At 43.1% G+C, this 14235-nt stretch overlaps 1 annotated feature.

Moving 5' to 3' along the window:
• Positions 10024-10318: a silencer, noted in NCBI's record as "tiled region #2681; K562 Repressive non-DNase unmatched - State 7:EnhWF". NCBI's record gives its function as "represses a minimal TATA promoter and a strong SV40 promoter by Sharpr-MPRA in K562 cells {active_cell/tissue: K562}" and the evidence as "EXISTENCE:reporter gene assay evidence [ECO:0000049][PMID:27701403]".

The raw sequence follows: 14235 nt of genomic DNA on the forward strand, positions 1-14235 counted from the left end.
AGATACCCCGTCTATCCCTTTTTTTTCTTTTCTTTTTTTTTTCTTTTTTTTTTTTTTTTTTTTGAGGCAGAGTCTTGCTCTGTCACCCAGGCTGGAGTACAGTGATGTGATCTCAGCTCACTGCAACCTCTGCCTCCCAGGTTCAAGTGATTCTACTGCCTCAGCCTCCCAAGTAGCTGGGATTACAGGTGCATACCACCACGCCCAGCTAAGTTTTATATTTTTAATAGAGACGAGGTTTCACCATGTTGGCCAGGCTGGTCTCGAACTCCTGTCCTCAAGTGATCCACCTGCCTCGGCCTCCCAAAGTGCCAGGATTACAGGAGTGAGCCACTGCACCCCCACCAACCCTACTGTCTATCCATGAGCACATCTTCCCGCAGATCTCTGTTTATATATGTATCTTCTCCATCAGGAAATGGTTTTACAGAAAACAAGAGCTGCCACCTATTATCCTTTGTATTTTTAGCTCTGAACTGGAAGTACTAAGGTGTTTCATCTTGTCAACTCTATCAGCTTGGTGATGGCTACCTGGAATGCCACATGGAAGATGATTCCAGAAAGATGCAGGCCATGCAGAGTGGTAGTGGGGTGCCAGAAAGTGCATGGGTGAAGGAGGAGGCAGGGACCAGGAGTTTTTCAAAGGAACTAACAAGAAACACCCCTCCCAAGGGCTGTAAAAAGCGACTGCTGGGCCGGGTGTGGTGGCTCACGCCTGTAATCCCAGAACTCTGGGAGGCTGAGGCAGGTGGATCACCTGAGGTCAGGAGTTCGAGACCAGTCTGACCAACATAGTGAAACCCCCATCTCTACTAAAAACACAAAAAACTAGCCGGACGTGGTGGCATGCACCTGTAGTCCCAGCTACTCAGGAGGCTGAGCCAGGAGAATCGTTTGAACCCGGGAGGCGGAGGTTGCAGTGAACTGAGATCGCACCATTGCATTCCAGCCTGGGCAACAAAAGTGAAACTCTGTCTCAGAAAAAAAAAAAAAAAAAGGTGACTACTGGCCTGTCTTATCACATCAAATACCTTGTAGAATGAGGAGCCTTCCTTGGAGTCAGAATACCTTTATGCTATAGGGAAGTTTTGCTCCTAAAATGTGATCCACACGTCAAGACTCTCCAACATGCAGCCAAAGCCATAGCTTTAGTTGAGACATGCCTGGGCCAGATCTCCTCACAGCCTCAGGTCATCTGAGTTCAAAGGCCTGAGGAATGCCACTCATATTTCAGGATAGAATCTTCCATTCCAGCAAGATTTGAGTAAACCCACCATTTCCTTCTAACCTTCGGTATTTGTTTCCTGTAGCTGCCATAACAAAATACTGCAAACTGGGTAACTTAATACAACAGAAAATTATTCTCTCACAGTTCTGGGGCCAGGAGTCCAACATCAAGGTATCAGCAGGGTCTCGGTCCCTCGGAAGGCTCTGGGGGAGAATCCCTCCTCAATACTTCCAGCTTTACGTGGCTGCAGATGTTCCTGGGCTTTCTTGGCAGCATCACTCCCATCTCTGCCTCCATCTTCATTTGGCCTTCTCCGTTTCTCCCACTGTGTCTTCTCCTCTTTTTTTTTTTTTTTTTTTCTTTTGAAACAGGGTCTCACTCTGTCGCCCAGGCTAGAGTGCAATGGTGCAGTCTCGGCTCACTGCAACCTCCACCTCCCAGGCTCAAGCGATTCTCCTGCCTCAGCCTCCTGAGTAGCTGGGATTACAGGTGTGCGCCACTACCACCCGGCTAATTTTTGTATTCTTAGTAGAGGCGGGGTTCCACCATGTGAGCCAGGCTGGTCTCGAACTCCTGGCCTCAAATAATCTGCCTGCCTCGGCCTCCCAAAGTGCTGGGATTACAGGTGTGAGCCACCGTGCCTGGCCCTCCTCTTCTGTCTCTTATAAGACACTTGTCATTGGATTTAGGGCCTGCCTGGATAATCTAGGATATTCTTATCTCAAGATCCTTAATTTAATTACATCTACAAAGATCTTTTTTCCAAATAAGGTCACATTAACAGGTTCTAAGACATAGACTTATCTTTAGGGGGCTACCATCTAACTCACTACATCTTCTGAATGGAAAATAACAAATAGTACCTAGGATGGGTTAACTTTGAGACATAAACAGTTTCTCTTAATGGAAACAAACAATGGTCTTTACAAATTTAGACTGAATAGTGAAAAACTACCATGAAAAAGCAGCAGCAAAAAAGCCCCATCCTAACGAACAACATTAATGTGATTGTTTTTGTCCTCGCTGTCACAGCCACACAGAAGGCTCTGTGCAGACTGTGGTCTTATTGTCTCTCCCCTGGAAAGTTCCTAAGCCCCAGTATGTTGAGCTTTTAGGACACTAGAACATTGTGACATTTTGCCAAAATTTTCCAGTTAAAAAATAAAGGATTATTTTGCCCAGGAAATTCTATCATCATTGCTAATGAAGACAAAGATTGGAGAAGGAAGAAGAGAGGAAGAAACACAGTGCCATGCATAAATAACCAAGCTGCAGCCTCTAGCCTCTTACCACTAATAAACAAATGCTCAAGAGCTTGTGTTTTAGAGACAGAAACTTATTCTGGGGGAAGCAGAGCCTTTCTTCCTGCTGAGTGCCCCCAGCATAATCTGTGTTTTGTTGTTGTTGCTGTTCCTTGCTCTTGCTCCAGCCATTTTTATCTGGAACTGAAGTCCTGTAGCTGCCATAATAAATTCCTGCAAACCGAGTAGCTTAAAACAACAGAAACTTACTCTGTTACAGTTGTGGAGACCAGAGGTCCCCAATTAAGGTGTCAACAGGGTCCCACTCCCTCTGAGGGCTCTAGGGGAGAAACCTTCCCTGCCTAAAGGTTAGTAGTGGAAATGTTTGTGCTGCTAACTGTGCTACGCTTACTTCCATTCATCAACATCTGGGAAGGTAACAGGTAACCAGAAGTTTACATTCTGAAAACTTCCAGAAAAACATCCCTCTCCACGGCCCCACTTCTAGCTCCTGAAATCATGAGACTCAAACCACTTCAACCTACTGTAACATATCCAAGGTGTTAATTGACTCTCACCCTAGGATGAGAGTCAGGTATGTAGACAGTAACCTCTGATCCCACTTTGAAAAGGAAAAATCCAAGTGATGAGAGTGGCGTTGGTGGTGTAATGGTTATAGTGGTTATAGTGGTGTGCCTAGCTGCCTTCTGATACAATGAGAGTCACTGCCATGTGAAGAATTGTTACTGTTTTGTCATTATCAATAGTTATTGAACATAAGGTACATAGACAGTAACCTGGGACCTCATTCTGAAAAAAAAAAAAAAAAACTCAAAGTGACCACAGTCACTACTATGTGACAAATTCTTGCCATTTAATCATTGTAAATATTTATCAAATATTTAGAGCTATACCCCAACTCATGAGGACATAGACTCTTACTCTTTGGAACTTGGGCCACCCGGGGAATAGGTAGCTGAAAGGAGACCTGCATTCATCCCTGTTTTCATTTAGCATTGCCAATATTTCACTGATGCTTAGTTAGGTAAGTAAAATCAGTACTATCAATGACTTCTTCCCCAGACCACACACCCTCAAAGGTAGAGTTCACCTTCCTGTTTCTTGCTCGTTGTTCAGTATCACAAATTATTCCTCTGAAGGCTGTAAATAAAACTCTCCAATATTTACATAGCTGATGGTCTCAAAGTGGCAAGCAAGCAGATCTTCTGAGAATCTCTAGACCATCTGGCTGCCTACCCACCCTGCCGCCCACCTCATGTCCTGCTCCCTCCACCACACAGACCTAGCTTGACTCCTCCCCGAAACACCTCCCCTCTAGAAAGGAGATTGTCAATCAACACCTGACATTCAGTCTTTTACTACTGCTTACTTCAAATTATTTTAAGCTCTCTGTGAATTAGCTCTTGGAATCATTGAATAGGAAACCCGATAAGCTGATGTTTAAGGATTTTTTCCTACCTTTAACCAAGTTGCTAAATAGAGGGCAAATTAAACATGGTATACTAAGCCTGGTGCAGTGACACATGCCTGTAGTGCCACCTAGTTGAGAGGCTGAGGCCGGAGGATCACTTGAGCCCAGGAGTTCCAAACCCAACCTGGGCAACATAGTAAGATTCCATCTCTAAAGACAAGCAAACATGGTACACTAGTACAACAAGAGTTTAGGGGATAATTGAGTTATTTCTACCTGTCATCTCTAAAGCCAGGACAAGGTTGTTTCAACAAGGAATGTTGTTGGTGGATTTCACATTTCCAGACATTTGGTGCTGTAATCTCCAAGCCCATCTGCATGGGTGATATGGTTTGGCTGTGTCCCCACCCAAATCTCATCTTAAATTGTAGCTCCCAAAATTCCCACGTGTCATGGGAGGCACCCCGTGGGAGGTAATTGAATCATGGGAGTGGGTCTTTCCTGTGCTGTTTTTGTGATTGTGAATTAGTTTCGCAAGATCTGATAGTTTTATACAGGGGTGTTTCCTTGCACAAGTTTCCTCTTGCCTGCCTCCAGGTGAGACGTGCCTTTTACCTTCCACCATGATTGTGAGGCCTCCCTAGCCACGTGGAGCTGTAAGTCCATTAAACTTCTTTTTCTTTATAAATTACCCAGTCTTGGGTATGTGTTTATCAGCAGAGTGATAACAGACTAATACAATGGGAAGCTGCATGGAATACAAGTCTGACCTCTGAGTTGCTAATTCATCCACCTTGACCAAGCAGGGACTCCATTTCATAACTAAAGAAATGGTTAAAACAGCACTTTGATTTCTGTGGGATTGGTGGTGATATCCCTTTTATCATTTTTTATTGCGTCTATTTGATTCTTCTGTCTTGTTTTCTTTATTAGTCTTGCTAGTGGTCTATCAATTTTGTTGATCTTTTCAAAAAACCAACTCCTGGATTCATTGATTTTTTGAAGGGTTTTTTGGGTCTCTATCTTCTTCAATTCTGCTCTGATCTTAGTTATTTCTGCTAGCTTTCGAATTTGTTTGCTCTTGCTTCTCTAGTTCTTCTAATTGTGATGTTAGGGTGTCGATTTTAGATCTTTCCTGCTTTCTCTTGTGGGCATTTAGTGCTATAAACCTCCCTATAAACACTGCTTTAAATGTGTCCCAGAGATTCTGGTACATTGCGTCTTTGTTCTCATTGGTTTCAAAGAATATCTTTATTTCTGCTTTCATTTCATTATTTATCCAGTAGTCATTCAGGAGCAGGTTGTCCAGTTTCCATGTAGTTGTGCGGTTTTGAGTGAATTTCTTAATCCTGAGTTCTAATTTGATTGCACTGTGGTCTGAGAGACAGTTTGTTGCGATTTCTGTTCTTTTACATTTGCTGAGGACCAGAGGTACAAAGAGGAGCTGGTACCAGTCCTTCTGAAACTATTCCAATCAATAGAAAAAGAGGGAATCCTCCCTAACTCATTTTATGAGGCTCAGCATCATCCTGATACCAAAGCCTGGCAGAGACACAACAAAAAAAGAGAATTTTAGACCAATATTCCTGATGAATATCGATGCGAAAAATCCTCAATAAAATACTGGCAAACCAAATCCAGCAGCACATCAAAAAGCTTATCCACCATGATCAAGTCGGCTTCATCCCTGGGATGCAAGGCTGGTTCAACATATGCAAATCAATAAACATAATCCATCACATAAACAGAACCAATGACAAAAACCACATGATTATCTCAACAGATGCAGAAAAGGCCTTCAACAAAATTCAACAGTGCTTCATGCTAAAAACTCTCAATAAACTAGGTATTGATGGAACGTATCTCAAAATAATAAGAGCTGTTTATGACAAACCCACAGCCAATATCATACTGAATGGGCAAAAACTGGAAGCATTCCCTTTGAAAACTGGCACAAGACAGGGATGCCCTCTCTCGCCACTCCTATTCAACATAGTGTTGGAAGTTCTGGCCAGGACCATCAGGCAAGAGAAAGAAATAAAGGCTATTCAATTAGGAAAAGAGGAAGTGAAATTGTCCCTGTTTGCAGATGACATGATTGTATATTTAGAAAACCCTATCATCTCAGCCCAAAATCTCCTTTAACTGGTAAGCAACTTCAGCAGTCTCAGGATACAAAATCAATGTGCAAAAATCACAAGCATTCCTATACACCAATAACAGACAAACAGAGAGCCAAATCATGAGTGAACTCCCATTCACAATTGCTACAAAGAGAATAAAATATCTAGGAATCCAACTTACAAGGGATGTGAAGGACCTCTTCAAGGAGAACTACAAACCACTGCTCAATGAAATAAAGGAGGACACAAAAAAATGGAAGAATATTCCATGCTCATGGATAGGAGAATCAATATTGTGAAAATGGCCATACTGCCCAAGGTAATCTATAGATTCAATGGCATCCCCATCAAGCTACCAATGACTTTCTTCACACAATTAGAAAAAAGTACTTTGAACTTCATATGGAACCAAAAAAGAGCCCACATTGCCAAGACAATCCTAAGCAAAACAAACAAAGCTGGAGGCATCACGCTACCTGACTTCAAACTATACTACAAGGCTACAGTAACCAAAACAGCATGGTACTGGTACCAAAACAGAGATATAGACCAATGGAACAGAACAGAGCCCTCAGAAATAACACCACACATCTACAGCCATCTGATTTTTGACAAACCTGACAAAAACCAGAAATGGGGAAAGGATTCCCTATTTAATAAATGGTGCTGGAAAAACTGGCTAGCCATATGTAGAAAGCTGAAACTGGATCCCTTCCTTACACCTTATACAAAAATTAATTCAAAATGGATTAAAGACTTAAATGTTAGACCTAAAACCATAAAAACCCTAGAAGAAAACCTAGGCAATACCATTCAGGACATAGGCATGGCAAGGACTTCATGACTAAAACACCAAAAGCAATGGCAACAAAAACCAAAATAGACAAATGGGATCTAATTAAACTAAAGAGCTTCTGCATGGCAAAAGAAACTACCATCAGAGTGAACAGGCAACCTACAGAATGGGGAAAATTTTTGCAATCTACCCATCTGATAAAGGGCTAATATCCAGAATCTACAAAGAATTTAATTTACAAGAAAAAAACAACCCCATCAAAAAGTGAGCAAAGGATATGAACAGACACTTCTCAAAAGAAGACATTTATGCAGCCAACAGACACATGAAAAAATGCTCATCATCGCTGGTTATCAGAGAAATGCCAATGAAAACCACAATGAGATACCATCTCACGCCAGTTAGAATGGCGATCATTAAAAAGTCAGGAAACAACAGATGCTGGAGAGTATGTGGAGAAATAGGAACACTTTTACACTGTTGGTGGGAGTGTAAACTAGTTCACCCATTGTGGAAGACAGTGTGGTGATTCCTCAAGGATCTAGAGCTAGAAATACCATTTGACCCAGCCATCCCATTACTGGGTATATACCCAAAGGATTATAAATCATGCTACTATAAAGACACATGCACATGTATGTTTATTGCGACACTATTCACAATAGCAAAGACTTGGAACCAACCCAAATGTCCAACAAGGATAGACTGGATTAAGAAAATGTGGCATATATACACCATGGAATACTATGCAGCCATAAAAAAGGATACGTTCACGTCCTTTGCAGGGACATGGATGAAGCTGGAAACCATCATTCTGAGCAAACTATCACAAGGACGGAAAACCAAATACCACATGTCCTCACTCACAGGTGGAAACTGAACAATGAGAACACTTGGACACAGGGTGGGGAACATCACATACCGGGGCCTGTCAGAGGGTGGGGGACAGGGGGAGGGATAGCATTAGGAGAAATACCTAATGTAAATGACGAGTTAATGAGTGCAGCAAACCAACATGACACATGTATACCTATGTAACAAACCTGCACGTTGTGCACATGTACCCTAGAACTTAAAGTATAAAAAATAAAAATAAAAATAAAAATAAACAGCACTTTGAGCCAGGCACATTGACAGCTGCCTGTCATCTCAGCAACTCGGAAGGCTGAGGCAGGGGATCACTTCAGCCCAGCAGTTCCAGACAAGCCCAGGCAACATAGCAAGACTCTGTCTCAAACAACAACAACAACAACAACAATAAAAGACTAGCATTTTGCAGGCCTCTCAGATTAGGCCCTTCCTAATTCAGACGGTGTCCCACATGAAAGAAAAGCTGACCCCAGGGAACACGTATTCTATTTTATGGAATGAAGTGTTGCCCATTAAAAGAAAAAAAAAAGAAAGAAAGAAAGAAAAAGAAAAACTGACCCCCCAAATGTCCCAGGGGTAGGGGAGCAGGTATACTCTTTTAAATAAAAACTCAGGCCGGGCACGGTGGCTCACGCCTATAATCCCAGCACTTTGGGAGGCCGAGGCAGGCGGATCACGAGGTCAGGAGTTCAAGACCATCCTGTCCAACATGGTGAAACCCCGTCTCTACTAAAATACAAAAAATTAGCCGGGCATGGTAGTACACGCCTGTAGTCCTAACTACTCGGAGGCTGAGGCAGGAGAATCCCTTGAACCCGGGAGGCAGAAGTTGCAGTGAGCCGAGACTGTGCCACTGCACTCCGGCCTGGCAACAGAGCGAGACTCCGTCTCAAAAAAACCACAAACAAAAAACACCTCATACCTGAGAAGGCAAGGGACTGAAAGGGATGATTAAAGATGGGTAGCAAAGGGCACCAACTGCTGGAGATTCATGAAGCCAGGACACAGCTTTCCAAGTCTCCGTGGACCAGGTCTGTGGCTCCCTACTTAGCAACCAAGCAATAGTCTGAGCAATCAGAGAAGCAGCAGCCTGAAAAATGAACTGCAGAGTCAAAAACTCAGTCTACAGCAGAAACACGTGAGCTGACACTTTCACTCAGATTTAGAAATAAAGTTCTTTTGACCTTAGAGAGAAGTGGGCTTAACAAGCTGCAGGCATGAGAGAGGTCCCCTTTGCTTCCCCTGGGCTGGAAGCAAGAACAAAGCACGATTTGTTCCGGAAGTTGACCGCAAAAGCTTGATATCTGGGCAAAGTCCCTTTACAGCCACTGCTGGGCAGCCCATCCCCCTCAAGTCCCTGGAGCTCCTGCCTCCTGGGACCGGAGGAACTCTTCTTTACAGATGAGATGTATTGGTGAGACACCAGGGGGCAGAGGTGGCAGGCTGCGTTGGATAAACGCAATGGAAGGAGCTGATTTGCACTGCCATGGTAGGGGAGAAGACATTTACAAACATTAAGCATCCGCTACAGCTCTTGGTGGGGCCTAGGCATGGGGTTCAGAGGGTAGTGTGGATTGGAATAAGGAATAGAACAGAACAGAATACAGACCAGGCGTGATGGCTCACGCCTATAATCCCAGCACTTTGGGAGGCCGAGGTGGGCAGATCACCTGAGGTCAGGAGTTTGAGACCAGCCTGAACAACATGGTGAAACCCTGTCTCTACTAAAAACACAAAAATACCATTGGCAGGCATCTGTAATCCCAGCTACTCAGGAGGCTGAAGCAGGAGAATCACTTGAACCCAGGAAGCAGAGGTTGCAGTGAGCCAAGATCGTGCCATCGCACTCCAGCCTAGGGGACAAGAGCGAGACTTTGTCTCAAAAATAATAATATAAATGTAATGTAACATAGCATAAGATTATGAAATTATTTTATTTTATATTTAAATATTGTAGCTTTAAAAATTACAGAGGGCCTCTACCCTGATCTGCTTCATATTTAAGATACTGAGATAAGAACAAATAGCCTTCCTATTTCATTCTCCATGTTCAAGACACATCATGGAATTTTATCCTTGCTATAAATATACATTTTATATTTGATTTTCCTAATGTTGCGGGCAAACTGCTGGGTCACTGGAAGAATTGATTCTCTGGCCTCACTGGCAACAGGGCATCAAAACTGAAAAGCAGCCTGGGGAACTGGATGTCATTAGCATCCTCACTGTAATGTTTGCTCAAACTATAAACTTATCACTTAAAATATTAAAGCAGAGTATGTTCAGAAGCACAAGCATAAATAAAAGTTTAAGTAAGGTATTTGTGAGGAGTTTTTCCCTACTTTATTTATTAAACATTCAGAACATCAATTTTAAATCATCAGTGACCTAACTTTGCATGGTAAATGAGCATAGGCAGGTAGCCTGGGGTTCCAGTTTGAGCTCAGCCAATTGTTAACTGTGACCTTGGCCAAGTTTCCTTATGTAGCTCAGAGCCTGAAGCCTGTTAAGCACTGTCAATAAACGGCTTGTACTAGCAATTCCTGTTCAATCAGTATTTAATCCTTGTCTACTCTTAGCGATCATGAAACCACCATTGCAAAATTATAACTGAGACAGTGAAAGAGATCTGATCTTACTAACTCCATCTTGCTTCTAACCTCCAAGTTGTCCTTGTTCATTCCTGAGCATAGGCCAAATTAACTTTGGGAGAAACTTAGTTTATAGTTTGAAACAAAGATGGTAACAGCCCTTTCCCAAAATGAACTAGACTGCCTTTGTAGAATTAACAAATTAGCCAAAAGATTAGATTATGGTTTAGAAGTCAGGCAGCTGGAGGCTGCAAGATTCTAAACCTCCCCAAATTGCCCCTGGGGATAACGTCACTATTGTGAAGCCTAAGATCAGTTCTTGAGATATTTTGCAGACCCTGTACTTGATGCATCAGCTGGCACCACCCAGGCTCGTAAACTGGCTCATCTGGTCTTGTAGCCCCCACCCAGGAGCTGACTCAATGCAAGAGGACAGCTTCAACTCCCTGTGATTTCATCTCTGACCTGACCGATCAGAACCCCCAATTCACTGGCCCCCCTACCCACCAAATTATCCTTAAAAACTCCAGTCCCTAAATTCTCAGGGAGACTGATTTGAGTAATAATAAAACTCTGGTCTTCTTGCACAGCCAGCTCTGTGTGAATTACTCTTTCTCCATTGCAATTCCCCTGTCTTGATAAATCGGCTCTGTCTAGGCAGTGGGCAAGGTAAATTAATCCATTGGGGGGTTACAATCATAGTCAAAATTAGTTCAAACCACATAAATCAATAATGATCTTTAACAGAGAGTGCTCTCCCTCATCTCTCTTCTTGGAGACAAGAGATGGTAACAAAAGTCCAAGTTGAAGCTTCACTACCTATGAGATCATGGAAATGACTTTTCAAGGAACACAACAATTGGCCCAGAAAAAGGTAGGAAAATAAAATATAAAAAGTAGCTATTGAAATGAAAATTAAAACAAAGGGAATATAACTTTAAAAGTGAAAACAAGACAATATAATGCAAGTTCTGTTTCTGAAGTATCTTTGGCACCCATCCACTGTCCGAGCTTGATAAGCCCTACCGTCTTCCACTGGACCCTGCCACTACCTCCCCAGGGTCCCCTCTTCCGCCCATTCGCCACACCAGTCTTGACTAAGGTAACATGGGTTCTTAGCAACACGCGGTCTAATCCCATGTGTACCAAATGGTGTAGATGGTTGTGTATATATCTATGGATGTACAGAGAAAAACTCCTCACAGCATAAACTAAAAAATATCAAGTGGCTCTCTAACATGTGACATATTCTTTTTATATTTTAGAAACTATTGAGAATTGGAAAAAACATTAATTCTATAATCAGAAAATAAAGCCACTTTTTAAAAAGAAGAAAGCAAGCTCTCAATGACATTCTACTGCAAACAGGGCAAAGTCCAAACTACCATTTAAGGCCCTTCACCCATCACCCCAGATGACTTTTCCAACATTATATTTTTCCATATCCCTGGCACACACCCTGAACTTCAAACACACTGGACACTCTTTACCCTGAATTCAGCCTTCATAGTCCCACTTTCTTTTTTTGTTGCCCAGGCTGGAGTGCAGTGGCACTATCTTGACTCACTGCAAGTTCTGCCTCCCGGGTTCACACCATTCTCCTGCCTCAGCCTCCCAAGTAGCTGGGGCTACAGGTGCCCGCCACCATGCCCGGCTAATTTTTTTGTATTTTTAGTAGAGACAGGGTTTCACCATGTTAGCCAGGATGGTCTCAATCTCCTGACCTCATGATCTGCCCACCTCCGCCTCCCAAAGTACTGGGATTACAGGTGTGAGCCACCACACCCGGCCCACAGTCCCACTTTCAAGCTTTCACCTATCCTGTTCTCATAGCCTGCCTCTTGGAGATGTCCCAGTCCTCCCTCTTCCCTATCCTTCCCCACCCCTTCACCCCCCATCCCCCACGTGCTCTGGTAAGTACCTGGAGCATTCATTTCATTTGGCTATGTCACATAATTAATTGTACTTAATGTTTTTCTCTTCTCCACTAAGCAGTAAGCTCTTCAAAGGCAGATTGTATCTTCTACCCAGAGTATCTGGCTTACAGCCTTGCACCCAAAGATATCCAATAGATGTTTGTTGAAATAAATTATTGAGGAATGCAGAGCACGATACACCTGAGGCAGTTTGCAGAAGGCTTTACAGGGGTGGGCCTTGAGGTGAGTCTAAAGAATGGGTAAGGTAGGGCAGGCGCAGTGGCTCACGCCTGCAATCCCAGCACTTTGGGAGGCTGAGGTGAGTGGATCACCTGAGGTCAGGAGTTCGACACCAGCCTGGCCAACATGGTGAAACTCCATCTCTACTAAAAATAAAAAATTAGCCAGGCATGGTGGCACATGCCTGTAATCCCAGCTACTTGGGAGGCTGAGGCAAGAGAATTACTTGAACCCGGGAGGCGGAGCTTGCAGTGAGCCAAGATTGCGCCATTGCACTCCAGCTTGGGCAACAAAAGCAAAACTCCATCTCAAAAGAAAAAGGGGGGGCGCTGGGGTAAGGCTAGATGCAGTGGCTCACACGTGTAATCTTTGGAGGCTGAGGTGGAAGGCTCGCTTGAGGCCAAGGGTTTGAGACAAGCTTGGGCAATATAAAAATAAAATTAGCTGGGTGTGATGCTGTTGCGTGTGATGGTGCGTGCCCTGCGAATTCTACTCCTAGGAGCCTATCCTAAGGAATTACTCAGAAAGGTGCACAAAGTCTTATATATCAACAGCATCATTTATAAGAATTAAAAACTAGAAACAATATAAACAATGAAGAACAAGAAAACAAAGTATAATACTACATTTATTTGATGCTATCATTAAAAGTTGTATGTTTTTGAAGACTAGACTAGCTATTGTCATTGGGAGGAATGCTCACAATATAAAGTGAGGGGGAAATGTTTAAATTGTTTGCATCTTGGGGACAGGGCTGAACTCAGAAATTGCCCCTGGGGATTGGATTGGGGAAAGGGGACCCTTTACATTTTAGTCTTCTGTTTTCCTTTTGAGTAATACTAATAGTAGTGACTATACTACTAATAATAATTCAAATGATTACTGTAAGCCAAGCATTATGCTAAGTCTTTTGTGTTTATTTTCTCACTTAATTCTCTCAACCATCTGAGCAGGTAAGTACTATTTTCCTCATTCCTTTACAGACAAGAAAGCTGAGGCACAGAGAAGTCAAGGCATTTGCCCAAGGTAGAGCCAGAACTCAAGTGTAGAATGTTGACTCCAGAGTCTTGTTTTCTCAGCTACTACAATATGCTGCTTCTGGTTAGATATATTTGTAGTACTGCAATTATTTATTTATTTATGAGACAGGGCTTGCTCTTGTCATCCAGGCTGGAGTGCAGTGGCGCCATCTCAGCTCACTGCAACCTCCACCTCCCGGGTTCAAGCGATTCACCTGCCTCAGCCTCCGGAGTAGCTGGGATTACAGGTGCGTGCCATCACACCCAGCTAATTTTTGTATTTTTAAGTAGAGATGGATTTCACCATGATGGCCAGGCTGGTCTCGAACTCCTGACCTCAGATCATCCGCCCAAGTCAGCCTCCCAAAGTGCTGGGATTAGAGGCGTGAGCCATCGCGCCCGGCCTGCATTTTAAATTAAGGAACTGATTCTACCTCTGCCAGGCAGTTCCCTCAACTAGAAACCTCTTCCCCGTCTACATAACTCCCTGATCTCCTTCAAGTCCTTGTTTAAATGTCACTTTCACAACGAGTACTATCCTGACTGCCCAGATCAAAATTGCAACCTGACCCTCATCCGTTATACCCCGCTGTGCTTTTTTCATAGCATGTATTTAGTATATCATATAGTTTTCGGATTCACCATATGCTTCTGTTCTCCTCCAACACATGAGCCCCACTAGGTCACGGGTTTTTAAATCTGTCTTGCTAACTGACGCATCTTAGCCAAAAAAAAAAAAAAAAAAGTCCTGGCACAAACTACGTGCTCAATACCTATCT

Source organism: Homo sapiens, chromosome 5, assembly GCF_000001405.40.
Source record: "Homo sapiens chromosome 5, GRCh38.p14 Primary Assembly".
Classification (NCBI taxonomy): Eukaryota; Metazoa; Chordata; class Mammalia; order Primates; family Hominidae; genus Homo; species Homo sapiens.